The following is a 27,861-nucleotide window of genomic DNA, read 5'->3' on the forward strand; positions in this document are numbered from 1 at the left end:
CCTTCACTGTCCTCCCCCACAACTGCTGTTGATTTCTCTGCATTGACCCTGCAGATGTTTCCCTGGCCTCGTGGTGTTCCTTTGGACTTTTAAGGGACCTCTGTGCATCTATTTTAGTCCCCTTTCTGCTAGCAATGCTCACTCCCCTAGTTTCCTTAAGCAGTTTTATAAAAAACCTTCAGTGAAAAATACTAGCCAAGAAGGCGAAGGCATCTGGAAAATCCCCAGATTTGGCTATTGTGTGCTGCAATGCCAGCCCCCTTCTACAGCCATGACATGCATATCAATGCAGGTGCCCTTGAGACTCCTGCAGGTTCGAGAAAGCATGACATGCTCCCAGAATCCTGGATTTGGACTTCATTCTGGACAGCATATGACAAGGACGAGGACCCCTATTCTAGCCAGTTAAAGCTGGACAGAATTTTTAAAAGCAATGAAGCCAGTTCCTTGGATATATCCACGGGCTTTGCTTTGAGAAGGAACTGAGTAGGCAGTGAGAAGAGTCGAGTGAAGCCTGGCCCGTGAGTGCCTCAACAACTGAGATGAACGTCGACTCGCTTGCAGGCAAGTTGTCAGTAAGTATTTATTAAATACCCACCGTGAGCCTTGTACTTTGCCTAGTTACTAAGAAACCAAAAGGGGGAAAAATAGCCTCATCTGCTCAGAGTTCATAATAAACCTGTATTGTGAATACAGAATACAGAAAAACTGGACTCTAGTGAGGTGCTAGAAAGAGTGTACTGCTTAGCTGAGATAGCAGATGAAGGAAAAATATTTTTGGTTCCTCCCTGCCATGCAATCGTACCGGGAGGGTGGAGTGTTGGTGTTCTCAGCCCATTTAATTTGGATGGAGCTGCGGGCTCATCAGTTTGGGGACTGGCTTCATCGCTTGTTCTGTCCAGCAGTCGCGTCTTCTCGGACTCCTTGTTCCAGCTTGAATTCCTCTTTTGCCCTGGCTCCACTCTAAGACGAAGACTGTGTAATTCAGAAAATGCAGCGCAAGTAATTATGTCCAGTGTGATGCTAAACATTTCCCAAAGGCAGCGTAGATCTGCAGAAACTGCAGCTTGGGAGAAGTGATGGTGTTCCTCTCCCCACCACCTCAGCCTGCCCTGATCATTCTCACTCACATGATCTATTGTGATGTTCTCACAATGTAGCCTGGCCATCATCTGGGAACTTGCTGGAAATGCAGATTTTGGCATCCCGCCTAAGACCTTAAACTGAAGAAGGGCCTAGCTCTCTCTTGTAACTAGCAACAGATGCAACCTGCATGGTTCTGATGCAAACTGACCTGGAAGAATGGCCCTGGCATTTACATTTTGGTCCTTAGATGCAGGTAATCTGAGCTGAACATCTTCAAACCTGAGGCATAGCATAGAAAAAAGAATACAAACAGTTTATATAAAGTAAAAAAAATTTTTAGAAAGGACTTAAGTTGGCTGGGGCGCGGTGGCTCACACCTGTAATCCCAGCACTTTGGGAGGCCAAGGCGGGCGGATCACGAGGTCAAGAGATGGAGACCATCCTGGCTAACGTGAAACCCCATCTATACTAAAAATACAAAAAATTAGCCAGGCGTGGTAGCAGGTGTGGTAGTCCCAGCTACTCGGGAGGCTGAGGCAGGAAACTCACTTGAACCTGGGAGATGGACGTTGTAGTGAGCCAAGATTGAGCCAGTGCACTCCAGCCTGGGGGACAGAGCAAGACTCTGTCTCCAAAAAAAAAAAATCAGGCCCAGGCAACATAATGAGGCCCCACCTCTACAAAAAAATAATTGTTTTAATTAGCCAGGTTGATGGTGTGCACCTGTGATCCCAGCTACTCAGGAGGGTGAGGTGGGTGGATCGCTTGAGCCCAGGAGCCCTCCCTCGGGATGCTCTTATTTCTGCCTGCAGCCTCATTTGTCACTCTGTGCAGACTCATTCTGTTTTTGTTTTGTTTTGTTTTGTTTTGTTTTTGAGACAGTCTTGCTCTGTCACCCAGGCTGGAGTACAGTGGCACAATCTCGGTTCACTGTAAACTCCGCCCCCCCGGGTTCACGCCATTCTCCTGCCTCAGCCTCCCGAGTAGCTGGGACTACAGGTGCCTGCCACTATACCCAGCTAATTTTTTGTATTTTTTAGTAGAGACGGGGTTTTGCCATGTTGGCCAGGATGGTCTCGATCTCCTGACCTCGTGATCCACCCACCTCGGGCTCCCAAAGTGCTGGGATTACAGGCGTGAGCCACCACGCCCTGCCAAATTTTCTATTTTTTAATAGAGATAGGGTCTTGCCAAGTTGAAGTGCAGTGGTATGATCATAGCTCACTGCAGCCTCCAACCCCAGGGCTCAAATGATCCTCCTTCCTCGACCTCCCAAGTAGCTAGAACTACAGACACACACCGCAGCGCCTGGCTAATTTTTTGTTTGGGGTTTTTTTGAGTAATTTTTTAAAAAAATTTTTGGACAGGTGTGTTGGCTCACGCCTGTAATACCAGCACTTTGGGAGGCCGAGGCAGGCAGATCACCTGAGGTGGGGAGTTCAAGACCAGCCTGACAAACATGGAGAAACCCCGTCTCTACTAAAAACACAAAATTAGCCGGGCATGATGGGGCATGCCTGTAATCCCAGCTTCTCCGGAGGCTGAGGCAGGAGAATCACTTGAACCCAGGAGGTAGAGGTTTCAGTGAGCCGAGATCGTGCCATTGCACTCCAGCCTGGGCAACAAGAGTGAAGCTCCGTCTCAAAAAATAAAGAGATGGGGTCTTGGATGTTTCCCAGGCTGGTCTCAAACTCCCAGGCTCTAGTGATCCTCCCACCTCAGCCTCCCAAAGCACAAGGATTACAGGCGTGAGCCACCGCACCTGGCCTCTGTGTTTACTTTTTTGAGGACCTGCCATACTGTCTTCCACCATGGCTGCCGTGTTTTACATTCTCACCAGCAAGGGTTCCAATTCTCTACATCCGCACCAATGCCGATCTCTATTTTTTTGAACCATGCTTGTGGGTGTGACACGGCACTGCACCGCTGTTTCTGGTGCCTGCTGTCACCCCCTCATCTGCAACTGCTACTTTAAGCTCATGTCAGCTGCCAAACTTCTCTTCCCTCCCCGTCTCCTTACCTACCCCCTGCTTCTAACACTCTCAGTGGGGGGATAATGTATCTTCCTCCTGCTGATGCGTGTTTCAAATCTGATACCTGCCTCTGGCGTGTTTAATCACCCACCAAGCCCTGTATAATCTTCACAGAAACCATTCACATCTCTTCCCTCCTGTGAGCAGGCTGTCATTTTCTTTTTTTTTTTTCCAACTGGAGCCTCGCTCTTGTTGCCCAAGCTGGAGTGCAATGGCGCAATCTCGGCTCACTACAACCTCCGCCTCACGGGTTCAAGCGGTTCTCCCGCTTAAGCCTTCCAAATAGCTGGGATTACAGGCATGTGCCACCATGCCCAGTTAATTTTGTATTTTTAGTAGAGACGGGGTTTCTCCACGTTGGTCAGGCTGGTCTCGAACTCCCAACCTCAGGTGATCCGCCCACCTCAGCCTCCCAAAGTGCTGGGATTACAGGCCCGAGCCACCGTGCCTGGCCCAGCCTGTCATTTTCTCTTTTGCCTAGCTTACTGTGTAATCTCCCTGACTTGTCCAAACCACTTGGCACTGCCAGAGACCTGAACTGTCCCGTCGGGTCCCTACTCCATAGCATCCTCTATCAGCTTTCCATTGCCCACCAGAAAAGGTGGGAAGAAAATTAGCATGGGCCGGCCGTGATGGCTCACACCTGTAATCTCAGCACTTTGATAGGCTGAGGCAGGCAGATGGCTTGAGGTCAGGAGTTGTACACCTGCCTAGGGCAACATGGCAAAACCGCGTCTCTACAAAGAAATAACAAAAATTAGCCAGGCATAGTGGCATGCCTGTAATCGCAGCTACTTGGGAGGCTGAGGTGAGAGGATGGCTTGAGCTCAGAAGGTCAAGGCTGCAGTGAGCCATGATCACGACACTGCGCTCCAGCCTGGGCGACAGAGCAAGACACTGTCTCAAAAATAATGTATATTTTACAAAGAATTAGCATGTGAATACCTTTTATGTGCCAGGCACTGTACTAAGTGCACTACATCTAGATATGAGTCCCATCTCATAGATGAACAGGCAACACAGACAACTTAAGTAACTTGTTTAAGGTCACACAGCTAGTAAGCAGTAAACTAAGATTCAAACTGTTTCAAAAGCAATCCTATTTTCAAGTCCACTCTACAGCCTCATTTCAGATTAATTACAATCCTGTTACATGGATGTCCCATTCCCCTTTTATGAAAAAAGCACTAAAGTAGCTTCCCTAAAGTGTATTACTTCATAATTTAGGAGCTGGAATCTGAACGTGCATCTGACTTCAAAGTATCCAGTGCTGATTCTTCACCTCTCCCAGATCCTTCGCCTGGCAGCAGGGCCCTGTTTCATCTAGACCCAACGTGGTTTAACAGCCTTTTGCCCCAAATTAGACAATTTGCCAGTGGATCTCCATTTTACCTCTCTATCCTTGCTTTTATAATTCCATCAACATCTTTGCCTTTCCTCCAACCCAAAATCAATTGCCACTTTCTTCCTGAAACCTTTCCATGTCTCCAAAACTCCAAGAAACCTTCCTTAACTCAAGCAGCATTGAGTTCACAACTCACTTGTAGGAATGCTTGTTCCTTGGTGCCGTAAAGAAATAGCACTTGAATATAAATTTAATTTTTTTAGTAAGGCCATTTTTATACTTTCTGCAGAAAGGGTACACTTGCTAGCAGTTTTGTCACGAGAGTATACTGAACAAAGGAGACAGGGTCGTTTATAACCTGATGGGTCTACTTTATTGCTGTCTGGTTTTTTTGGCTGGAATGGGACTTTATATTTTGTATTTGTTTTGATTGGCTAGTAACTTACAACTTTTTAAAAGAGGCAAAGGCAGAGGAGAATAGGCCAGGTGCGATGGCTCACACCTATAATCCCAGCACTTTGGGAGGCTGAGGCGGGCGGATCACGAGGTCAGGAGATCAAGACCATCCTGGCTAACATGGTGAAACCCCGTCTCTACTAAAAAAATACAAAAAAGTTAGCCGGGTGTGGTGGTGGGCACCTGTAGTCCCAGCTACTCGGGAGGCTGAGGCAGGAGAATGGCGTGAACGTGGGAGGCTGAGCTTGCAGTGAGCCGAGATGGCACCACTGCCCTCCAGCCTGGGTGACAGAGCAAGACTCCATCTCAAAAAAAAAAAAAAAGGCAGATGAGAATAAAGGAAGGAGGAAGGAACTTGTGGAATATCGAGAAAGGTAAAAACACCTTTAAATAAGGAAGAGGAACAGGCTATGACCTAATGTTTGTTTGGACCAGTATAAGTATGGCAGGGCAAATATTGAGGCTAAACTGTGGGAGCCGAGAATATAAAGTACATCTTTTTTTTTTTTTTTTTTTTTTTTTTGAGACAGTCTCACTCTGTCACCCAGGCTGGAGTGCAGTGGTGCGATCTCGGCTCACTGCAAGCTCTGCGTCCCGGATTCACGCCATTCTCCTGCCTCAGCCTCCCGAGTAGCTGGGACTACACGCGCCTGCCACCACGCCTGACTAATTTTTTGTATTTTTAGTAGAAACAGGGTTTCACCGTGTTAGCCAGGATGGTCTCAGTCTCCTGACCTTGTGATCCACCTGCTTCGGCCTCCCAAAGTTCTGGGATTACAGGCGTGAGCAACCGTGCCCGGCCTGTATAAAGTACATTGATTTTTTTTATTATGGCTGGTAGATATTTAAGAATGTTAGCACAGGTCTTTGAATAAATTTTGCTTTTAAGAGAAATTACTACTTATTTTTAATTAGATGGGGAGGAAAGTCTTTTAAGAGGAACCTCTTCTTTACTTTTTTTTTTTTTGAGATGGAGTCGCCCAGCCTGTAGCCAGGCTGGAGGGCAGTGGCGCGATCCCAGGTCACTGCAAGCTCCGCCTCCTGGGTTCACGCCATTCTCCTGCCTCCGCATCCCGAGTAGCTGGGACTACAGGCGCCCGCCACCACGCCCAGCTAATTTTTTGTATTTTTAGTAGACACGGGGTTTTACCATGTTAGCCAGGATGGTCTCCATCTCCCGACCTCGTGATCCGCCCGCCTCGGCCTCCCAAAGTGCTGGGATTACAGGCGTGAGCCACCGCGCCCAGCCCTCTTCTTTGCTTTTTACACTTGTAACATTCTTAAGCATTGAGAATGTGCCAAAACTACATTGCAGCCCTCCTGCAGCTGAGCACGTGATAGCCCCCAACAAATACATGCAAAGTGAAAGGAAAATGTGTTCCTGCAGGGAGGATGCCTCCCAGGATCATTGAAATAGCCGGTTATCAGCAGTAAGAAAAGTGCATGAGACTGAGAAGCAGAGATTTGCTTCTGGCACCAAATGTCTTGCAAAAGTGTTTGCGTTGCATTGATTTTCAGTGTTTGTCCTCCTCCCTGGCTTCCAGGTCTCTGAGTGGGCGGTGAATCTCCCCTCACCCCCAAGCTGCCTTGTTAAAATCTTTTCCCAGCCTGGACTTTTTGTCCGAGTCATACTAGCCACCAAGTAAACAGCAACCTACTTGCCACCTGGGGAGGTGCAGCGTGGCTTGACTGGATAGTAGCCTCTTTGGGTTTTGCTTCAAACCCAACCTATTTGAAGGTGCAGTGTGCGGTGAGAGTCTGGAACCCTGCAGTGGTGATGAGGGGGAGGCAGAGGGAGGGAAACTGACCACAGAAGGGAAAACCAGTCCAAGCTGGCTGACACTGAAAGCCACCTCTCCCTGCAGCTCAGCAGCGATCTGAACTATATCCTGGGTTCCAGAAAAGGCAGAGGTTCTTACCGAAAGCAGGTAAGTGTCTTGTCTGTCTGCATCAAGCTCAGAGTTGGTAGGAAAAGACTCTTCTAGCAAATAAACCATTGGGGGAAAGGGGAAGAGCAGCCAGTGGGACAGGGACACTCATCCCATTTGTTGGATAGAGTCAGAAGGGGTGGGCACGAGGAAGTGGCCGCCCCTGACCATGGGGTATCCCAGGCAACATCCAAGCCAGGAAGCAAGTGATTTTCTTGGCAATAAGTCAAGAACTGGCTCCTGGCTACTAGTGTGAGGGGCTCATTCCTGGGAACACTCACCCTTGCTCTGCTAATAAGAGGAAGTAGGCGGGGACGTGGTCATCACCCTGAGGCCCCCAACCCAGCTCCTCACAGTGGGAATAAATGAGCACAGCTCTACAGTGGAGCCAGCAGTCTCGTGACAAGTCTGACAGCAAAGTCAGATGGGGAGTCATTGTGGCTTCTTGATTTGAGGATGCTTACTGGATGCCTCTGCGCCGTGGCCAGGATACTGCCCCAAGACTTTTTGTTGTTGTTGAGACAGTTTTACTCTGTCGCCCAGGCTGGAGTGCTGTGGCATGATGGCGGCTCACCGCAACCTCCGCCTCCTGGGTTCAAGCAATTCTCCTGCCTCAGCCTCCCGAGTAGCTGGGACTACAGGTGCATGCCACTATGCCTGGCTAATTTTTTTTTCTATTAGTAGAGATGGGGCTTCAGCATGTTGGCCAGGCTGGTCTCGAACTCCTAACCTCAGGTGATCTGCCCGCCTTGGCCTCCCAAAGTGCTAGGATTACAGGCGTGAGCCACCGTGCCCAGCCTCAAGACCGTCTTAACTCACAAATAACTGGTAATTTTCATGGGGAAGCAAGTCAGTGTCAATGTAATGCAGTAAGTGCTGCAACTGAATATTCAATGGGTTAACAGGAGAGGGCTCCTAGCCAAGAATGGGGTGACTCCAGAAAGGCATGTGGGAGGAGGTGACGTCTGAGCTGAAGCCCAAAGAACAGTTTGTAAATCACTGGGTTTGGATGCGGAAAGAGTGTCCTGGGTGAAGGGGACAGTATGTGCAAGACTCGGAAGCAAGACTGACGTGTTCCGAAAGCAAAAGTTGAAAGCAGGGGGTGAGGGAGAGGAAAACCAGGGCAGGTTGTGCGGGAGTGGGAGCCTGTCCCGAGAGCCGTGGGAAGGCAGCCCCCGCGCCCTTTCACCCACTTGGCCGTTTGGAAGGTGGATTTGAAGGCAACAAGGCTGAAGGCAAGGAGCTGAGTTAGGAGCCCTCAGGCATCCGGAGGGACAATCTGTGGTGATCTAGCAGTGGCTGCACAGAAGGGGAAGCCAGAGGAGTCAAGCCAAGGGAATGGGACGTTTTTAAACAGGAAGAACGAAAAGCTATGTGATCTGAGGAGCTTGGAAAACTCCAGCACGCTCCTCCCTGCAGCTCAGCAGCTAGTATCATTTCTCTAAATAGTGTGTCTTGTTCACAATATGACCCTCAGTTACAATGTATTAAGAATCACTTCTCCAGCCGGGGCGCAGTGGCTCAGGCCTGTAATTCCAGCACTTTGGGGAGCTGATGTGGGCAGATCACTTGAGGCTGACGAGTTCAAGACCAGCCTGGACAACAGGGTAAAAATGCACAAATTAGCCGGGCGTGATGGAGCACGCCTGTAATCCTAGCTACTTGGGAGGCTGAGGCAGAACTGTTTGAACCCAGAAGGCAGAGGTTGCAGTGAGCCAAGGTCACACCACCGCACTCCAGCCTGGGCAATGCAGTGAGACTGTCTCAAAAAGAAAAAAAAAAAAAAAAGTCTGGGCCCAAGGCAGACGGATCAGTTGAGGTGAGGAGTTTGAGACCACCCTGGCCAACATGGTGAAACCCCGTATTTACTAAAATACAAAAATTAGCCGGGCATGGTGGCTCGTGCCTGTAATCGCAGCTACTGGGAGGCTGAGGCAGGAGAATCGCTTGAACCTAGGAGGCGGAGGTTGCAGTGAACCGAGATCATGCCCCTGCACTCTAGCCTGGGCAACAGAGCAAGACTCCCGTCTCAGAAAAAAAAAACAAAAAACTTTGCCAGGTGTGGTGGTGCGTGCCTGTAATCCCAGCTACTCAGGAAGCTGAGGCAGGAGAATCACTGGAACCTGGGAGGCAGGGGTTGCAGCGAGCCGAGATCACGCCACTGCACTCCAGCCTGGGCAACAGAGTGAGACTCCATCTCAAAAAAAGGAGAATCGGCTGGGCACAGTGGCTCACCCCTGTAATCCCAGCACTTTGGGAGGCCAAGGTGGGCGGATCACCTGAGATCGGGAGTTCAAGACCAGCCTGACCAACATGGAGAAACCACATCTCTACTAAAAATACAGAAATATAGGTGGGCATGCTGGCGCATGCCTGTAATCTCAGCTACTCAGGAGGCTGAGGCAGGAGAATTGCTTGAACTCTGGAGGTGAAGGTTGCAGTGAGCCGAGATCGTGCCATTGCACTCCAGCCTGGGCAACAAGAGCAAAACTCCATCTCAAAAAAAAAAAAAAGAATCACTTTTCCACTGGGTGTGGTGTCTCACGCCTGTAATCCCAGCACTTTGAGTGGTTGAGGTGGGATTACTGTTTGAGCCCAGGCATTCATGACCAGCCTTAGCAACATGGCGAGACCCCATCTCTACAAATAAATTTTTTTTTTTTTTTTTTTTTTGAGACGGAGTCTCGCTTTGTCGCCCAGGCTGGAGTGCAGTGGCGCGATCTCGGCTCACTGCAAGCTCCGCCTCCCGGGTTCACACCATTCTCCTGCCTCAGCCTCCCGAGTAGCTGGGACTACAGGCGCCCGCCACCACGCCCGGCTAATTTTTTGTATTTTTAGTAGAGACGGGGTTTCACCGTGTTAGCCAGGATGGTCTCAATCTCCTGACCTCGTGATCCGCCCGCCTCGGCCTCCCGAAGTGCTGGGATTACAGGCATGAGCCATGGCGCCCAGCCCTCTACAAATAATTTTTTAAAAATTAACCGGGCGTGATGGTGCACACCTGTAGTCTCAACAACCCAGGAGGCTGAGGCGGGAGGATCCCTTGAGTCAAGGAAGTTGAGGCTGCAGTGAGCCAAGATCACGCCACTGCACTCTAGCCTGGGCAACAGAGTGAGACCTTTTACAGTTTTCTGTACCTTCTGGATTTTCTACTATTTTTTCTATTACTTTAAGCACTTTAAGAAAGGGAGCAGATGTTCATTAGTAACAAAAAGTCATGGATCATTCCTGTTAGCTCATTATTTTCTAGCAAAACAGACAGGGTGGGCCACAGGTTAGTTCTGGTGGTGGGATTCAGGCAGGGGTGGCCGGAGTAGCCTCTGAATGCTGCTGAGTGGTGAGATCAGTTGACAGTGCTGCACCTCCTCTCTGACTTCCTCCCCACTTCCCCCCAAAACCTGTCTGCTTCTGACTCTACACCAGAACCATCCTTAGCCACCTCCACGTTTGAAAAATAGAGTCTGGAGTGGTGAGGAGGTAGGACTCAGTATCTGGAAATACTCCTGGAAATGGGGCACCTGGGGGCTGGAGGACTAGCCCAAGGCCAGCCACGGCAGCATGGTGTCTACAGCTGAGGTGTTCTTTCTGTCAAGCCGGTGTGCCTGCTGGCTGACTTCCTTCCCACAGTGCTGAGGAGAGAGTTCCCGAAGCCCCACTGACCCCATCTCTCTCCTTCCCTGCAGGCAGCTTCGGTTCCTAACTTGCATCCTTCATTCCTCACCTCAGAGCTGAGACAGCTCCATGGTTCTCTGCGGTTCAGCCCTGGACAGTCACCAAGGCTCTCTACAAAGTTCTCTCCCAGTAACCCTTGTTCTCTACCCCTTCTCCCTAATCCCTCCCTCTCCACTTCATTGTTTTACTCTGAAGGGTCTCCTAATTGGCCTCTCACTGACTCCCCTCAACCCATTCTTCCAGAATAACTGTCCTCATACTACATTCAATGTGGTATTTTCCCCCTTAAAAGCATTCAGTGTGGCTCACGCCTGTAATCCCGACACTTCGGGAGGTGGAGGTGTGCGGATCAGCTGAGCTCAGGAGTTCAAGACCAGTCTGGGCAACATGGCAAAACCCATCTCTACAAAAATTTTTTTTAAAAAAATAGCCTGACATGGTGTCATACACCTATGGTCCCAACTCCTTGGGAGGCTGAGGTGGGAGGATCGCTTGAGCCTGGGAAGCAGAGGTTGCAGTGAGCTGAGATTGCGCCACGGCGCTCCACCCTGGGCAACAGAGCCAGATCTTGTCCCCTGAAAAAAAGAAGTATTCAGTGTTTTGTTACTGCCTACAGGATCACATTTAAAAATTCACTTTTCATGTTGTGAAAATGCCAATCAAAAAGAAAACAAAAAAATTCCCTTTTAGGAGGGCACATGCTGTCTCTAGCCACCCAGGCTCCCCACGTGTGGCCTAACCTGCCTTTGCAGCCTCCTTCCCACAGTTCTGTTCCCTGAACCCTCTGCTCACACCAAGCCCACATCCAGGGTCTGCACGCCCCACCTTCTGCTTTTAAATGCTTCCTTATTCTTTTTTTTTTTTATTTTTTTTTTTGAGATGGAGTCTTGCTCTGTCGCCCAGGCTAGAGTGCAATGGCGTCGTTTCGGCTCACTGCAATCACCACCTCCCGGGTTCAAGCGATTCTCCTGCGTCAGCCTCCCGAGCAGTTGGGATTACAGGCACGTGCCATCACGTCTCGCCTGACTGATTTTTGTGTTTTTAGTAGAGACGGAGTTTCACTATGTTGGCCAGGCTGGTCTCGAACTCCTGACCTCCTGATCCACCCACCCTCGGCCTCCCAGAATGCTGGTATCACAGGCGTGAGCCACTGTGCCTGGCCAATGTTCCCTTTATTATTATTATTATTATTATTTATATATGTATTTTTTGAGATGGAGTCTCGCTCTGTCGCCCAGGCTAGAGTGCAGTGGTGCGATCTCAACTCACTGCAACCTCCGCCTCCCAGGTTCAAGCGATTCTCCTGCCTCAGCCTTCTGAGTACCTGGGATTACAGACATGCATCACCACGCCCAGCTAATTGTTACATTTTTAGTAGAGACCGGGTTTCACCACATTGGCCAGGCTAGTCTCAAACTCGTGACCTCAGGTGATCCACCTGCCTCGGCCTCCCACAGTGCTGGGATTACAGGTGTGAGCCACTGTGCCCCGTGCTCTCTTATTCTTTAAGTCCCACTTCTCCAAGCCAGCCCTTAGTGACTCTGCACACCTCTGAGCCTTTCAGCACGCACTGTCTAAGCCGCTCAGTTGCCATTAAATGGAATGTGAGGGTTTTAAAAATGTATTTATTAAGCACTCTTTGGTTACCAAGTTACAGAACTCTACTATCTTAAGACAATAAGTCACCTCATTAGAAGCATAGTGGGAGACCCTTTTTGTGGTCAAGGTCAGGAATAAAGTGGATCGCTGTGCAGTAATAAGGCAGAAGTCTCTCCCGCCTTGCATCATCTCTGCGGGTCTGCTTTATTTATCTCTGTTTCCTCAATCATGTGACAAGTTTGCTGATGGGCCCCAAGTTTTATCTGTTACAGGTAAAATGCCCCTAAAAGAGGCTGCATACACTTTAAAAATTCCTATGGAAGGGGTTGAATCATTCAGCTTAAGTCAGGTCTCCATCCTTACACAGTGAACAGTAGCCAGGGGATGGAGTTCCAGGGACGTGGCAGTTCCCAGTGCAACTAACCCGGAATAGCAAGGGGGAAAGGGCAAGTCCTAGAATGGGGTATGCTCACCCACTGCATTCCACCTTTTGACACTAAGAACATGCAAACATGCTATTTCCCGTGTATCAAATTTCTTCTTCTCAATATGATTCAGTTATCACATGTAAATTGTGAATGCACTTGTCTTCCCAGTGCACAGTGACACAATGTCATGGCCAGATGCTGCATCCCAAGGCGGTGACAGGGAGCCTCTGTCTTCCAGCTGGCTGCTTTTCTAGTCCTTTCCCACTTTGTTTCCAAAGAGTTCCAGATGTGTTTTCTCATTGTTCTGCATCCCAGCACTTAGATGATCTTTTCTACCCCAATACCCCCTACACCCTCTAAATTCCTTCAGAAAAGAAGGTAGAGGAGGCCGGGCATGGTGGCTCATGCCTGTAATCCCAGCACTTTGGGAGGCTGAGGCGGGCAGATCAGGAGGTGAGGAGATGGAGACCATCTTGGCCAACATGGTGAAACCCCATCTCTACTAAAAATACAAAAATTAGCCATTCGTGGTGGTGTGAGCCTGTAGTCCCAGCTACTCAGGAGGCTGAGGCAGGAGAATAGCTTGAACCCAGGAGGCGGAGGTTACACAGTGAGCCAAGATCGCACCACTGCACTCCAGCCTGGACGACAGAGTGAGACTCCGTCTCAAAAAAAAAAAGAAAAAAAAAAGAAGTCTATTCCCATCAGTGCCGGAACCAGTAGGAATTCAATTCTGTGGAGGGCAAGGCCTTGCTTTGTTCCCCAGCTGTGTCCCTGCTGCTTAGAACTGCAAATGGCATACAGTAATCACTCAACAAATATCTGTAGCGTGACTAACACTTAGGCTTGTGGGTTGCCTTGGGGGGCAGTTATCGGCCCTGGTGCCAGGTTTGGGGTTTTCATGGTGCTATGACTCCTTTCATACCTTGCCTGGCTAATGGTTTCGCCTTTGTTGCCTGTTACTAATGCATTTACTGCTGCCAGGAATCTTGTCAAGTCATAGGCTTTGATTAGCATAGGCCTGCGAAAGGGAACTTCCGGGGCTGGAACTGCAGCAGCTTGGTACAGCCTCAGGGTAGGGAGGCTCACCCTCCAGCCAAGTGCTCTCCGTGGGTGGAAACATTATCACATCTGTTAGCTATGCTATGGAGTGGCCCTGGGATTAGGGTGTCCCTAATTTCTCTGGCATCTGTTAAATACCCCTATTCCAGTAGCCCAGGCTGGAGTGCAGTGGCGTGATCTTGGCTCACTGCAACCTCCGCCTCCTGGGTTCAAGCGATTCTCCTGCCTCAGCCTCCCAGGTAGCTGGGATTATAGGTGCCCATCACCGCACCTGGCTAATTTTTTTGGGGTGGGGGACAGAGTCTCACTGTGTCACCCAGGCTGGAGTGCAGTGGCACCATCTCGGCTCACTGCAAGCTCCGCCTCCCGGGTTCACGCCATTCTCCTACCTCAGACTCCCAAGTAGCTGGGACGACAGGCGCCCACCACCACACCCGGCCAATTTTTTGTATTTTTAGTAGAGACGGGGTTTCACCATGTTAGCCAGGATGGTCTCGATCTCCTGGCCCTGTGATCCGCCCGCCTCAGCCTCCCAAAGTGCTGGGATTATAGGCGTGAGCCTCCAAGCCCAGCTAATTTTTTGTATTTTTAGTAGAGATGGGGTTTCTCCATGTTGGTCAGGCTGTTCTCAAACTCCTGACGTCAGGTGATCCGCCCGCCTCAGCCTCCCAAAGTGCTGAGATTATAGGTGTGAGCCACCGCACCCGGCCCACAGTTTCTAAAGTAGTAATTTAGTTCTAGAAACAGCAGGGAATATGATTATAAGAGCAGTCACAATGTTCTCAATTATTGGACTCCCTGGCTTCAGACAGAAACAGTTGTGTCCTGTCTATTTTTTTTTTTTTTTTTTTGAGATGGAGGCTCGCTGTGTCACCCAGGCTGGAGTGCAGTGGTGCGATCTCGGCTCCCTGCAAGTTCTGCCTCCCAGGTTCATGCCATTCTCCTGCCTCAGCCTCCTGAGTAGCTGGGACTACATGCGCACACCACCATTCCCCGCTAATTTTTGTGTTTTTAGTAGAGATGGAGTTTCACTATGTTGGCCAGGCTGGTCTCGAACTCCTGACCTTGTGATCCTCCCGCCACCATGCCCAGCCAATTTTTATATTTTTAGTAGAGACGGGGTTTCACCATGTTGCCCAGACTGGTCTCGAACTCCTGACCTCAGGTGATCTGCCGTCCTCAGCCTTCCAAAGTGTTGGGATTACAGGCATGAGCCACTGCGCCCTGCTTCTTTTTTTTTTTTTCTTCTTTGGGGGGCATAGGGTTTCGCTCTGTTGCCCAGGCTGGAGTGTAGTGGTGTGATCTTGACTCACTGCAACCTCCACCTCCTGGCCTCAAATAATCCTCCCATCTCAGCCTCCTGAGTAGCTGGGCCACCATGGCCAGCTAATTTTTTGTATTTTTGTAAAGACGGGGTTTCACTATGTTGCCCAGGCTGGTCTTGAACTCCTGGGCTCAGGCGATCCACCCGCCTCAGCCTCCCAAAGTGTTGGAATTACAGGCGTGAGCCACTGTTCCCGGCCAAACTTAAGTCCTTGAGAACTAGAATGTGTATTTTGTTCACTACTATGTCACCAGACCTGGAGCAGTGCCCAGCACTCAGCAAATGTCTTCCTGAATGGATTAGTGTAGCACCAAGAGAAAGACTAATGTCTCCCCCACCCCTCCTCTCTTTTCTTACCCAAAACAAAATAGCTGGAGACAGCAAAGAATTGCTGGCAACCAGTCTCTCAATTGCTGGAGAGCAGTGAGGAGTGCAGGAGAGCTGGGGACCCTAAAGCAGCTTCAGGGCACCGGAGAGAAGAGGCTCCTCAGAGCCTGGGCCAGCCTGTGCCCAAGCAGAGAGCGTCCGGAGAGCTGCTCCTGACACCACTCCTCTGGGGTTAAAGCAGCCTCACTCTGGCCAGGCATGGTGGCTCACACCTGTAATCCCAGCACTTTGGGAGCCTGAGGCGAGTGGATCACCTGAGGTCGGAAAAAATACAAAAATAAAAATACAAAAATTCGCCCGGTGTGGTGGCACATGCCTGTAATCCTAGCTACTCCAGAGGCTAAGGCAGGAGACTGGTGTGAACCTGGGAGGCAGAGGTTGCAGTGAGCTGAGATCGTGCCATTGCACTCCAGCCTGGGCAACAAGAGCGAAACTCCATCTCAAAAAAATAGCAGGCCCCCTCCTCAGAAGCTGTCATAATTGTTGTAGCTTCCACTTGTCAATTAGGAATATAATGTAGTTTGGTTTCTCAACAAGATCACATGAATTTCAGAAAACACAGTTTAATAGCCAAAAAGTAACTATGGAGCATCTTAAGTGGGTTTTTTGTTTGTTTGTTTGTTTGTTTGTTTGTTTGTTTGTTTGTTTTTGAGACAGTCTTGATCTGTCGCCCAGGCTGGAGTGCAGTGGTGTGATCTCGGCTCCACCACAACCTCTGTCTCCTGGATTCAAGCAATCTCCTACCTCAGCCCCCCAGGTAGCTGGGATTACTAGCCCACCACCACACCCAGCTAATTTTTGCATTTTTAGTAGAGATGGAGTTTCACCACGTTGCCCAGGCTGGTCTCGAACTCCTGAGCTCAGGCAATCCGCCCGCCTCGGCCTCCCAAAGTGTTAGGATTACAGGCATGAGCCACCACGCCCGGCCATCTTAAGTATTTTATTGTAGTCCTTGGACACCAAGAGAGGGATTCCTAGTTCATAGCAACTCCTCTTAAAATCCTTTCCATCCCTTCTGCTTCCTCCAGTGCCACTCCCATGCCTCTGTCCAAAATGCCCCAGACATCCTTTCCTCCAGCCTCAGCAGGCTGCTGTATCCTTCTCTCTCATTCCCCTTCCTTCTTATCTGATCCCCAGAGTCCAAAAGTTCGAGGATTCTGATTTGAATCCCAAAGTCCAAAAGGTTTAGGAAGGGAAAAAAGTGGAGCAAGCGGGCCGCATGAATCCACTAGTGACGTGCGTCCTCGCCCATCTGTGAGGTGAGTGTTTCTCTGACTACTTTGCAGGGGAGGAAGCCGCAGCCCAAGGAGGTCGTCACTTGCCGGGAAGGTGGCTCGGGCCAGGCTGCACTCAAAACCCGTGCTCTGTCCACACTGCTACGGGGCCAGAGCCAAGGAAGCTTCCACTTCTTCCCCCAGACAGCCCCAACAGCGGCTACCCCAAGGAGCCAGCAGCCTTGTGTCCTGGGATCCCCAGCCCCTGCAGAATGACCCACCAGGATCTGAGGTGAGCTCGGCTGGGGCAGCCTGAGGCCCTGGGCCCTGGGCCTGGCGGAGAGTCGCTGTGGTGATAGCACATCCAGGTTTCTGAAGAACAAGCTGAGTCCTAGGGAAGAGCAAGACCCCTGTCCCCCATATAACATATACACTACATCTACTGTGGCAAATACGTACACACAAGCATCTGTGCACATATATGTTATTGTTCAACATAGTTTAATTGTTTGGGTTCATCTTCTCTAACTACAAAATTAAGTTTACAGTTCTCTTTATCGTCCCAAGTTTCTTCCTTTGTGAAAGGCCCACTATCATCTACTCTTACCACTTCCAGGTAAATCCATCTCCAAATATTTTGTTCACAGTCTGCCTCCCGCCTGAAAGATAAGAAAAGTTGAGTGGGTTCCAAGGAGTCTGAGAAAGCTTTGTTTTCTATTTCCCGTCTTCCAAAGCTCCTATACCCAGCAGGGTGGGGGGCCATGTTATCTAAACTGTGGCTTTACTTTTGGCTGGAACTAGGTCACCTCAAGGGCTGACCGACTTGAAGCCTTCACTGTGGGAAGTGCCTGCTCTCTTATTATGAACAATAGCTGGCATTCCCCCCCAGGCACGGTTTCCATAGTCCTCAGCAACCCTGGAGTGAGTTCGACGGGAATGCAGGCCCAGAGAGGAGAGGTCACAGTCAGGATGCAAACTCAGTTCTGCCTGACCTTCAGTCCGTTTGTGTGAGAACTGCACACGTGGCTCCAGGCCTGCGGAGGAGCCAGAGGACGGGCCGGGGAAGCTTGGGGCAGAGCGGTGCCCTGGTGGCGGCCCATGGGGGCAGAGCTGGGCTCCTCCCAGAAGCCCCTGCAGGTCCCAGCTCCAGGGACTTCCCGGGTTGCAGCAAGATGCCTCACCCGGGTGAGTGCGGCTGTCCTGTCTGGACCAGACCTGGGCCAGGGAGGCTGAAGAGGGTCTCTGGACACCTGTGGGGCTGGGGTTCCCCACTGTCTGTGCCCCTGCCCATTCCTGGCTGCATCCGCTCCCTAACCTGCCCCTCCCTCTGCCTCTCTCCTCCCCCTGTCCTCCCCCTGTCCTAGCATCACAGCCAAACTCATCAATGGAGGTGTAGCAGGGCTCGTGGGGGTGACCTGCGTGTTCCCCATCGACTTGGCCAAGACTCGCCTGCAGAACCAGCATGGGAAAGCCATGTACAAAGGAATGTAGGTGCTGGCAGGCGAGCGTGGAGGGCAGAGGCGCCCGGGGGAGGGATGGGGCCCCCTTCCCTCCAGTCTCCAGGCAGCGCGCGTGAGCCTGGGGGCTGGGGATCTGATCAGCTGGGATGTGCCCGCGGGAGCAGGGCATGGAGGCGGCTGGGAGGCCCGCTGCACACTTACTCCTACTCTGGCCTCTGCTTCCAGGATCGACTGCCTGATGAAGACGGCTCGGGCGGAGGGCTTCTTCGGCATGTACCGAGGTGGGCTTCTCAGGTCCCCTGGGAGGCTGGGCAGCAGGTGTGAGCGTATGGGACATGGGGAACTGGTGTTCCTTCCGTTGCTGCGGGGATGGGGCCAGGGCTGCCAGGGGGTCCTTCCTGATGAGCCTCTGTGCTCTTGGGTGGAGACAGAGGCAGCTCTGGGTCCTGGTAAGGCTTCCGGAGACCCACAGAGCACACCCCCCGCCACCGCCTCAGTAAGAGCAGGCGAGCCCTCCCTACCTGCCTGCCTCTCTCTGCCTGGCTAGAAGCGAAGAGAGAGAGGCTGAAAGGGACTGAGGGACGGGGCCTGAGCTCCTGGCAAGGAGTTCTGGGTGGCTCCTCCCCAGCTCGGTCCAGCGTTGCTGCGGTCCCTGCGGGGTCCCCAGCCAGGAGGTACCTTGGACAATGGATCCCAAGCTGGAGTTGAGCCGGAGCTCGTATGCTTGTGCCGCCGAGAAGCAAAACACAAACCCTAGACAGCCCCGAGCTAGCAGCCAATGGGACTGGCTTGTGCGGCACAGAGGAGCGGAACCCCAGTCCCTGCGCCTGGCGCCTGTCACTGGAACTGCTGTTTTATCATCAGCGACCCCACCAGCAGCAACAAAAATAAAATGGCTTCCTGATAACCAAACTGAGGAGTCCGTAAGAAAAAAATACGTAAAAAGGGGAGAATGTGGGGCCGGGCGCGGTGGCTCACGCCTGTAATCCCAGCACTTTGGGAGGCCGAGGCGGGCGGATCACGAGGTCAGGAGATCGAGACCATCCTGGCTAACACGGTGAAACCCCGTCTCTACTAAAAAATACAAAAAAAATTTAGCCGGGCGTGGTGGCGGGCGCCTGTAGTCCCAGCTACTAGGGAGGCCGAGGCAGGAGAATGGCGCGAACCCGGGAGGCGGAGCTTTCAGTGCGCCGAGATCGCGCCACTGCACTCCAGCCTGGGCGACAGAGCGAGACTCCATCTAAAAAAAAAGGAGAATGTGGTAGGGAGTGGGAATGGAAAGTTATTTCAGTGAATTAGGCTCAGGAGCCCCACCTGGCCCCAAAAATGCCCTTCACTCAGGGACTGGCCTGGCTAGGGCTGAAGGGCAGACCTGGGGCACTGTTATTTCTGGGATGGCCTTGACTCCCCATCTTGTCCTTCACTTCCAGGGGCTGCAGTGAACCTCACTCTGGTCACTCCAGAGAAGGCCATCAAGCTGGCGGCCAACGACTTTTTCCGGCGGCTGCTCATGGAAGATGGGTATGGCCAGGTGGGGTGGGGTTGGATCCTTCACTGTGTGTTTTTTGGGAGAGATGGCAGGAAGAAGATTTCAAATGTGCCTCAGTATACCTGCCTGCATGCATATAAATATGTGCACACATGGCTGAGGGCTGGTGTGTGTTTGGGCTGCTGGAGAGTGAAGGGAGAGAATGAGCTGGTATACTTTGGAAGTGTGACAGATAATATAGAGAACATATAGCATATACAGACAAATCCATCAACTAGCCAATAAATTTTTAAAAATCAGCCACCAAGCTGGCTGCAGTGGCTCATGCCTGTAATCCCAGCACTTTAGGAGGTTGAGGAAGGAGGATCGCTTGGGCCCAGGCGGTCGAGGTTGCAGTGAGCCATGTTGGCTCCACTGCACTTCGGCGTGGGTCACAGAGCGAGACCTCGTCTCAGGAAAAACAAATCAGCCCCCAAACACTTTCTAGCTCTCTCTGTGCCTCACATTGCCCAGTGATGTTCCTGAAGGGATCAAGGACAACGCCTGGTCTGGGTAGTTTTCTCTGTCACTGTTTTCAGCTTCCATGCGGTGCTACCTCCCTAGCAGGCTTTGTTTTAAACTTAGTCCCCTGTCCGTACAGAGACCACACCTAAGGGCTAGCTGATGACTTGACCAGCTGGGTGAGTGGCAGCCACGGGTGCCATCCAGGGAAAGTCCCCCTCTCACAAGAGGGCAGCTGCACCAGGGCAGGCCTGTGGCCTGCGGCTGAAGGAGCCTGACGCCTGTTCCCATAGGATGCAGCGGAACCTGAAGATGGAGATGCTTGCCGGGTGTGGGGCTGGGATGTGCCAGGTCGTGGTGACCTGTCCCATGGAAATGCTCAAGATTCAGCTGCAGGATGCTGGACGCCTGGGTGAGGCCTGTCCCCACCTCCTATGGGAACAGTAAAGGGCTGGGATTGGAACCAGGCACATCCCACATCCCAACCTCATTTGCTAGGCTGTGTGACCAGTCAACTTTCCAAGCAGGTAGAAGTTTTTGGCCAGGCATGGTGGCTCATGCCTGTAATCCCAGCACTTTGGGAGGCCGAGGCAGGTGGATCATTTGAGGTCAGGAGTTCGAGACCAGCCTGCCCAACATGGTAAAACCCCATCTCTTCTAAAGATACAAAAATTAGCCGGGCGTGGTGGTGCATGCCTATAATCCCAGCTACTCGGGAGGCTGAGGCAGGAGAATCACTTGAGCCTGGGAGGCAGAGGTTGCTGTGAGCTGAGATTGCACCACTGCACTCCAGCCTGGGCAACAGAGTGAGACTCTGTCTCAAAAAAAAAAAAGTCTTCATTTATGGTTACCCATTTCATCAATGCTGCCAGCTCTAGAACAAATAGCAGAAATGAGAATGTTGATTCAGAGGGTCAGAAAATACTTAAGGCTTCTGTCACATTTTCTTCACAATTAGACTTGATCTCCTAAAGATTTTAAGAAATGCCAGCTGGGTGCCGTGGCTCACGCCTGTAATCCCAGCACTTTGGGAGGCCGAGGCGGGCGGATTATGAGGTCAGAAGATTGAGACCATCCTGGCTAACACGGTGAAACCCCATCTTTACTAAAAATACAAAAAATTAGCTGGGCGTGGTGGCGGGCACCTGTAGTCTCAGCTATCCGGGAGGCTGAGGCAGGAGAATGGCGTGAACCTGGAAGGCAGAGCTTGCAGTGAGTGGAGCTTGCGCCACTGCACTCCAGCCTGGGAGACAGAGCAAGACTCCATCTCAAAAAGAAAAGAAAGAAAGAAAGAAAGAAAGAAGGAAGGAAGGAAGGAAGGAAGGAGAGAGAGAGAGAGAGAGAGAGAGAAAGAAAGAAAGAAAGAAAGAAATGCCGCCCAGCGTGGTGGCTCACGCCTGTAATCCCAGCACTTTGGGAGGCCGAGGCAGGCGGATCACCTGAGGTCAGGGGTTCAAGACCAGCCTGGCCAACACAGTGAAACCCCGTCTCTACTAAAAATACAAAAATTAGCCAGGCGTGGTGGTGTGTGCCTATAATCTCAGCTACTCGGGAGGCTGAGGCAGGAGAATCGCTTGAACACAGGAGGCAGAGGTTGCAGTGAGCTGAGATCACGCCATTTGCACTCCAGCCTGGAGGACAAAAGCGAGAATTCATCTCAAAAAAAAAAAAAAAAAAAAAAAAAAAGAAATGCCAATGACTGGCTCACTGAAACCTCCAGTCAGTATTTTATGCTATAGAAGCTGGCTTTTGGTAGAAAGGCATAAAAAGGGAGAAGAGAATCATTCCCATTCTTTTGTTTTTTTCTTGGAAGAGAAATTTGGCCCTTTCCTAAATCCTGGTCCTCTCAGAATGATGGAGTGGTGTTGGTTCAGCGTGGTACACTCCTGTAATCTCAGCTACTCAGGAGGCTGAGGCAGGAGGATCCAGAGTTTGAGCCCAGCCTGGGCAACATAGCAAGAACTAGTCTCCAGTAAAAAAAAAAGCAGCTGGGCGTAGTGGCTCATGCCTGTAATCCCAGCACTTTGGGAGGCTGAGGCAGGCAGATTACCTGAGGTCAGTAGTTCGAAACCAGCCTGGCAAACATGGCGAAACCCCATCTCTACTAAAAATACAAAATTAGCCGGGCGTGGTGGTACATGCCTGTAATCTCAGCTACTCGGGAGGCTGAGGCAGGAGAATCACTTGAACCCGGGAGGCAGAGGTTGCAGCGAGCGGAGATCGCACCATTGCACTCCAGCCTAGGTGACAGAGCGAGACTCCATCTCGAGAAAAAAAAAACAGAAAGAAAATGTGCGGATAACTAGATTCCTAGTATGAAATATTTTCCTGCTGGATACCAATCAAATCTGGGACATGACATTGGGAATAGCTTCCTTTTGGCAAGGACTTATAATCTAAGCAAAGCTTCTCAGACACTGAGATTTAGGAAAAGAAATACAGAATTTCAGTGTCACAAATCCCATGGTTATTAATGGGGCTCACAACATTTTATTTTATTATTATTTATTTTATTATTATTATTATTATTTTTTTTTTTTTTTTGAGGCAGAGTTTCACTCTGTTGCCCAGGCTGGAGTCCAATGGCACTGTCTTGGCTCACTACAACCTCTGCCTCCCAGGTTCAAGTGATTCTCCTGCCTCAGCCTCCTGAGTAGCTGGGATTACAAGCATGCACTACCACGTCCAGCTAATTTTTTTTTGTATTTTTAGTAGAGACAAGGTTTCTCCATGTTGGTCAGGCTGGTCTTGAACTCCCGACCTCAGGTGATACGCCTGCCTTGGCCTCCCTAAGTACTGGGATTACAGGTGTGAGCCACCGTGCCCGGCCACCTCACAACATTTTAAATGTGGTATAACTCCATTCTAATGAGTAATATTGAACTTATCAAATGATAGGCTCTGAATGATTTAAAGAATCAAATTCTACCAAATAGGGAAGAGTGGGAAGGACCTGCTCACCTTATCTTGGAGGACGAGCAGGAGGAGGTGACCTGGAAGCCTGAGGGAGACCATTCCATCCTATTAGCATTTTAGGACACGGGAATTTCATGTATGTTCTGCCTAATGGTGGAAAGCCACAAATTCTTTTTGTGTCTAGAAATCACCTAGGCTGGGTGCGGTGGCTCACGCCTGTAATCCCAGCACTTTGGGAGGCAGGTGGATCACCTGAGGTCAGGAGTTTGAGACCAGCCTGACCAACATGGTAAGACACCTTCTCTACTAAAAATACAAAAATCAGCCAGGTATGGTGGCACATGCCTGTAATCCCAGCACTTTGGGAGGCCAAGGCAGGTGGATCACCTGAGGTCAGGAGTTTGAGACCAGCCTGACCAACATGGTAAGACACCTTCTCTACTAAAAATACAAAAATCAGCCAGGTATGGTGGCACATGCCTGTAATCCCAGCACTTTGGGAGGCCAAGGCAGGTGGATCACCTGAGGTCAGGAGTTTTGAGACCAGCCTGACCAACATGGTGAAACACCATCTCTACTAAAAATACAAAAATCAGCCAGGTGTGGTGCATGTGCCTATAACCCCAGCTACTAGGGAGGCTGAGGCAGGAGAATCACTTGAACCCAGGAGGCAGAGGTTGCAGTGAGCCGAGATCGCACCACTGCAAAAAAATAAATAAAATAACTAAAAATAAAAATGACCTACATAGGCTGAGAAATGGTTTAGAAATGGAAGCCAGATCAAAACCAGTTTTAATGGGAGGGTAAGGAATGGAGCCCTAAGGAACGTGGCGGAGAAGCAAGCGGGCCAGGCTGTGGCTGTGCTCTTGGGAAGTGTTCTCAGCATTGGGATAGCTCCTGAGATACTGTAGACCTTAGGAAGACGTCCTCAGAGCCAAAAATTAACATTCTAAAATTAGGACATTCTTCTGGATGCCAGCTGAGGTGTCAGCCTGGCCTCTGAACTGTCCCAGGGGCAGGGATTGAGAGCCACACTCAGGAGTGTTTCGTAGCATCTGTTGGGGACCAGGTACTGATGTCTGTCCTTTCCCTTCCAGCCGTCCATCATCAGGGCTCGGCCTCAGCACCCTCCACCTCCAGGTCCTACACAACTGGTTCGGCTTCCACCCACAGGCGCCCCTCTGCCACCCTCATTGCCTGGGAGCTGCTCCGCACTCAGGGCCTGGCTGGGCTCTACAGGGGCCTGGGTGCCACTCTCCTCAGGTGAGCCTTTCTTCCGGTTCCCTAGGACAAGTGCACGGGGGAGGGCACGAGGGCCAGAGAGCTGGTTGTCCCTATCTGCCTCTGTGTCCTTCCCAGAATATCCAAACCCAGGTGAGCAAACGATTTCCATGCTTCCTGTTTTGTCTGGAACTGGCCAGGGTGGCACAGAATGGGTACCTAGAAGACTAAAGTTTTAGGCCGCTTGCATAGTGATGACCAGGCCCACAGGAAGGCTGGGTGTTTTGTGGCCCAAAGGCACCTAAGAAAGCCCTGTCTACAGAGGACCGCAGAGTTCATAGTAATGAGTGGCCAGGCCCCTCATCTTCCCTTAGCCTGCCTGCCCCTGTACAGAACGCATTTCCCGCCTCGGACTTGCCTCTGGCAGTCAAGAGGCTGCAGGTGCTGCAGGGCAGAGGAAGGAGCTGGGACGGCGGAACAGATGGCAACAGCTCTTTTGTCCCCTGCTGTCCCTCACCCACGCTCACGGGGCACAAAAGAAGGGATGAGTCCCCGTGGCTCCTCTCACTGTAAGCCCCACAGCTCACAGCAAAGCTCATTGTCTCACCTTGGGTGGCAGCCCCAGGGCAGCTCGGAGCTCAGTGTTTCTCCTTCCTCTTCTGCAGAGACATTCCTTTCTCCATCATCTACTTCCCACTGTTTGCCAACCTTAACAACCTGGGGTTCAACGAGCTCGCCGGTAAGGCGTCCTTTGCACATTCCTTCGTGTCAGGCTGTGTGGCAGGTTCCATAGCTGCGGTCGCAGTGACGCCTCTAGATGGTAAGGAGTTGGGAGACGTGTCCTTTCTATGGGATAAACAGTAATTTTGCACTTATAGATAAAACAGCCTGACCCTGGAAGCCATACTGGGTTGCAATCTGGCTGCTGGCGGAGGCTCACTAGAGGCCCTCATGGAGAAAGTGGGTCCCAAGAGACCTTCCTTCTGTTTCTCATCCCTGACACATCCCTCGCCTTCAAGATGCTGATTGCTTTAGCTTTTCATCCCCTCAGAAGAGTTGTGAGCCCCAGCTATAAATTATTGCTGATGTGTTAAAATTTGGGGCTGGCTGGGTGTGGTGGCTCACGCTTGCAATCCCAGCACTTTGGGAGCCCAGCACTTTTGGATCACCTGAGGTCAGGAGTTTCAGACCATCCTGGCCAACATGGTGAAACCCCGTCTCTACTAAAAATGCAAAAAAAATTAGCAGAGTGTGGTGGCGGATGCCTGTAGTCCCAGCTACTTGGGAGGCTGAGGTAGGAGAATCATTTGAACCCAGGAGGTGGAGGTTGCAGTGAGCCAAGACCACACCACTGCACTCCAGCCTGGGCGACAGCACAAGACTTCATCTCAAAAAGTAAATAAATACATAAAATTTGCGGCTAATGGTGGGAGCTAAACCTGGCATGAGAAGACAATGCTTCCCTCCGTGTTAGGGCTGCCTCCAGCTCCCTAAACTTGCGGGTAGACTTCCTATACCAACAGTAACCTGGCCAGGTGCGGCGGCTCACGCCTGTAATCCCGAAACTTTGGGAGACCGAGACAGGAGCCCAGGAATTTGAGACCAGCCTGGGCAACAAAGTGAGACCCTGTCTCTAAAAAAAAAAAATGAAAACATTAGCTGGGTGTGGTGGTGCGTGCCTGTAGTCCCAGCTACTCGGGAGGCTGAGGTGGCAAGATCACTTGAGCCCAGATGGTTGAGGCTGCAGTGAGCTGATTGTGCCACTGCACTCCAGCCTGGGCAACAGAGCGAGACCCTGTCTCAACAAAACCAAACAAAGCCACAGTAACATGACTCATTTATTTTATAGCTGAGGCCCAAAGAAGAAGACCTCCACTTACAGATCACACAATGGCAGAACTGGCCTCATGACCGTTTTTTTTTTTCTTTTTTTGTTTTTGAGATGGAGTCTTGCTCTGTTGCCCAGGCTGGAGTGCAGTGGTACAATCTCGGCTCACTGCAAGCTCCACCTCCCTGGTTCAAGCGATTCTCCTGCCCCAGCCTCATGAGTAGCTGGGACTACAGGAACGCGCCACGCCCGGCTCATTTTTGTATTTTTAGTAGAGATGGGGTTTCACTATGTTGGCCAGGCTGGTCTCAAACTCCTGACCTTGTGATCTGCCCACCTCAGCCTCCCAAAGTGCTGGGATTACAGGCGTGAGCCACTGCGCCCGGCCTATGAGTCAGTTTTATATGTGGTGGCTCTACAGGAGGGCCCAGCCCCTTAGTGTTGAGGGGAGGACACCGAAAGTAAGCTGTTCACTACTTACTTTAACTTTTACTTGATTTAGTTCTGAAAACTCGAATCCAAACCCTCAAGAAAGGCCTGGGCGAGGACATGTACAGTGGGATCACCGACTGTGCCAGGTGAGAGCCAGTGTCCCCTCAAATGGTGGCTGGGACAGGTTCCTCTGCGTGGGTGTCTGCCTAGACCAGATTTAGAGACCAACTTGAATTGCTGGGCTCTGGGTTTCTTTGAAGTCTGTCTTTCCCTCACCTCTCAAAGAAAACAGAATGTACTGGGAGCCTTTTTCTTCTTCCTGGCATCCCTACAGCATCTCTCACCAAAGATTCTAGCCACATCAAGCCTGTTTCCAAGGCCTTGACCCAACTGCATAAGTAACCAACCTGCATGCACCTAGCGGGCGAGGCACAGCTCCCACACCGTTGGCCTCTTGCTCTTGTTGTGGAAGGCACTATTCTAAAATGAGAGGTGCACAAATGGAGAGGCTGCCACTGAGGGCTGCTTGCAGAATGCCCCTGCCCATCAGCTCACTGGCTCTTCTTTCTCCCCAGGAAACTCTGGATTCAGGAGGGACCATCTGCCTTCATGAAAGGCGCTGGCTGCCGGGCACTGGTCATAGCACCTCTCTTTGGGATTGCTCAAGGGGTCTATTTTATTGGGATTGGAGAGCGCATCTTAAAGTGTTTTGACTAGACAGAGCTGGAGGTCAAGTCCCTGCGCTTGCCGCCCTCTCTCTAGCTGTTTCACTTAGCCTAGAGGGGGCAAGGGCAGGTGGGGCCACTCTGGCCTGCCTGGTCCTCTGCGTTGTAGTGCTACCTCAATCTCGGGAGAAACAGCCCTATATTCTAACAAGTTGAGCACAGCCTTCTTCCCCTTCGTGTCTACACTCGTTTTCCTTTGTGGGCACAGCTACCAGGGGCTTTTGGAAGCCCCTAACCACCTACTTTTCAACAAAAATGGTACTTTCGTTGTATTAATTGCAGGACCTTAACAGGTAGTCACAATAGAAGGGTTGTTTCTGTATTTTAACATTTCTATTTCACAGTCAAACTCGGCATTCTTCAGTCAGCTTGAGGATTTAGCATTGTTAATCTTGGACTCCATAACTTATGAGTCCTAGCACTGATTTTGAGGAAAAGGAGGATCAGAAGTTCAAGGGACCGTGAAAGCCCTCAGAGTCAGCACCTAGTTTGAGACCAAGCACCCTTTCGAATCCCTGGATGGCTGAGGGGGCTGAGGCCGGCTCTGACTGGGCAGCTCAGCCCCTCCCCCAGAGCCCAGGGTCTTGCACACCCCTCCCTGTAACCAAGGAACACTCTGAAATAAAGGTGAATGGCTAAAATCTCATCTGTTCATCAGTGGGTACAGCAGATAGGCTGCAGTGAATGCTATCACCATCTACTTTTCTACGTCCATTTCAAAACCAAACATTAAAAAGGGCATAGAAGCAGACCCC

At 50.9% G+C, this 27,861-nt stretch overlaps 1 protein-coding gene and 2 long non-coding RNA genes across 4 annotated transcripts, besides 3 other annotated features; 1 reads left to right on the forward strand and 2 right to left on the reverse strand.

The window, feature by feature from the left end:
* Positions 131-425: a silencer, noted in NCBI's record as "tiled region #614; K562 Repressive non-DNase unmatched - State 20:ReprD". NCBI's record gives its function as "represses a minimal TATA promoter and a strong SV40 promoter by Sharpr-MPRA in K562 cells {active_cell/tissue: K562}" and the evidence as "EXISTENCE:reporter gene assay evidence [ECO:0000049][PMID:27701403]".
* Positions 360-27,857, forward strand: SLC25A18 (solute carrier family 25 member 18). 2 transcript variants are annotated; one of them, NM_031481.3, is made up of 11 exons: positions 360-575; positions 6,786-6,848; positions 16,607-16,826; positions 17,899-18,021; positions 18,220-18,275; positions 19,425-19,515; positions 20,278-20,396; positions 23,998-24,163; positions 24,787-24,941; positions 26,452-26,527; positions 26,957-27,857. In NM_031481.3, exons 3-11 carry the CDS (start codon positions 16,807-16,809, stop codon positions 27,096-27,098), a joined length of 948 nt encoding a protein of 315 aa, NP_113669.1. In that variant the 5' UTR covers positions 360-575; positions 6,786-6,848; positions 16,607-16,806; the 3' UTR covers positions 27,099-27,857. The 2 variants fall into 2 exon arrangements, with proteins under 2 accessions (NP_113669.1, NP_001290413.1); NM_001303484.2 differs by lacking the exon at positions 6,786-6,848.
* LOC105372850 (uncharacterized) lies at positions 559-6,940 on the reverse strand. The gene is made up of 3 exons (XR_001755420.2): positions 6,840-6,940; positions 1,131-1,365; positions 559-975 (listed from the first exon to the last, which is right to left on the reverse strand). It is a non-coding gene; the product is annotated as an uncharacterized LOC105372850 (long non-coding RNA).
* Positions 5,531-6,282: an enhancer, noted in NCBI's record as "H3K27ac-H3K4me1 hESC enhancer chr22:18048734-18049485 (GRCh37/hg19 assembly coordinates)". NCBI's record gives its function as "activates a minimal SCP1, AML or CMV promoter by ChIP-STARR-seq in primed H9 embryonic stem cells {active_cell/tissue: H9 hESC(primed)}" and the evidence as "EXISTENCE:reporter gene assay evidence [ECO:0000049][PMID:30033119]".
* Positions 6,283-7,033: an enhancer, noted in NCBI's record as "H3K27ac-H3K4me1 hESC enhancer chr22:18049486-18050236 (GRCh37/hg19 assembly coordinates)". NCBI's record gives its function as "activates a minimal SCP1, AML or CMV promoter by ChIP-STARR-seq in primed H9 embryonic stem cells {active_cell/tissue: H9 hESC(primed)}" and the evidence as "EXISTENCE:reporter gene assay evidence [ECO:0000049][PMID:30033119]".
* Positions 17,017-26,054, reverse strand: LOC101929372 (uncharacterized). Its single transcript, NR_171783.1, has 4 exons — positions 24,729-26,054; positions 22,127-22,248; positions 18,196-18,410; positions 17,017-17,193 (listed from the first exon to the last, which is right to left on the reverse strand). It is a non-coding gene; the product is annotated as an uncharacterized LOC101929372 (long non-coding RNA).

Source organism: Homo sapiens, chromosome 22, assembly GCF_000001405.40.
Source record: "Homo sapiens chromosome 22, GRCh38.p14 Primary Assembly".
NCBI classification, from domain to species: Eukaryota; Metazoa; Chordata; class Mammalia; order Primates; family Hominidae; genus Homo; species Homo sapiens.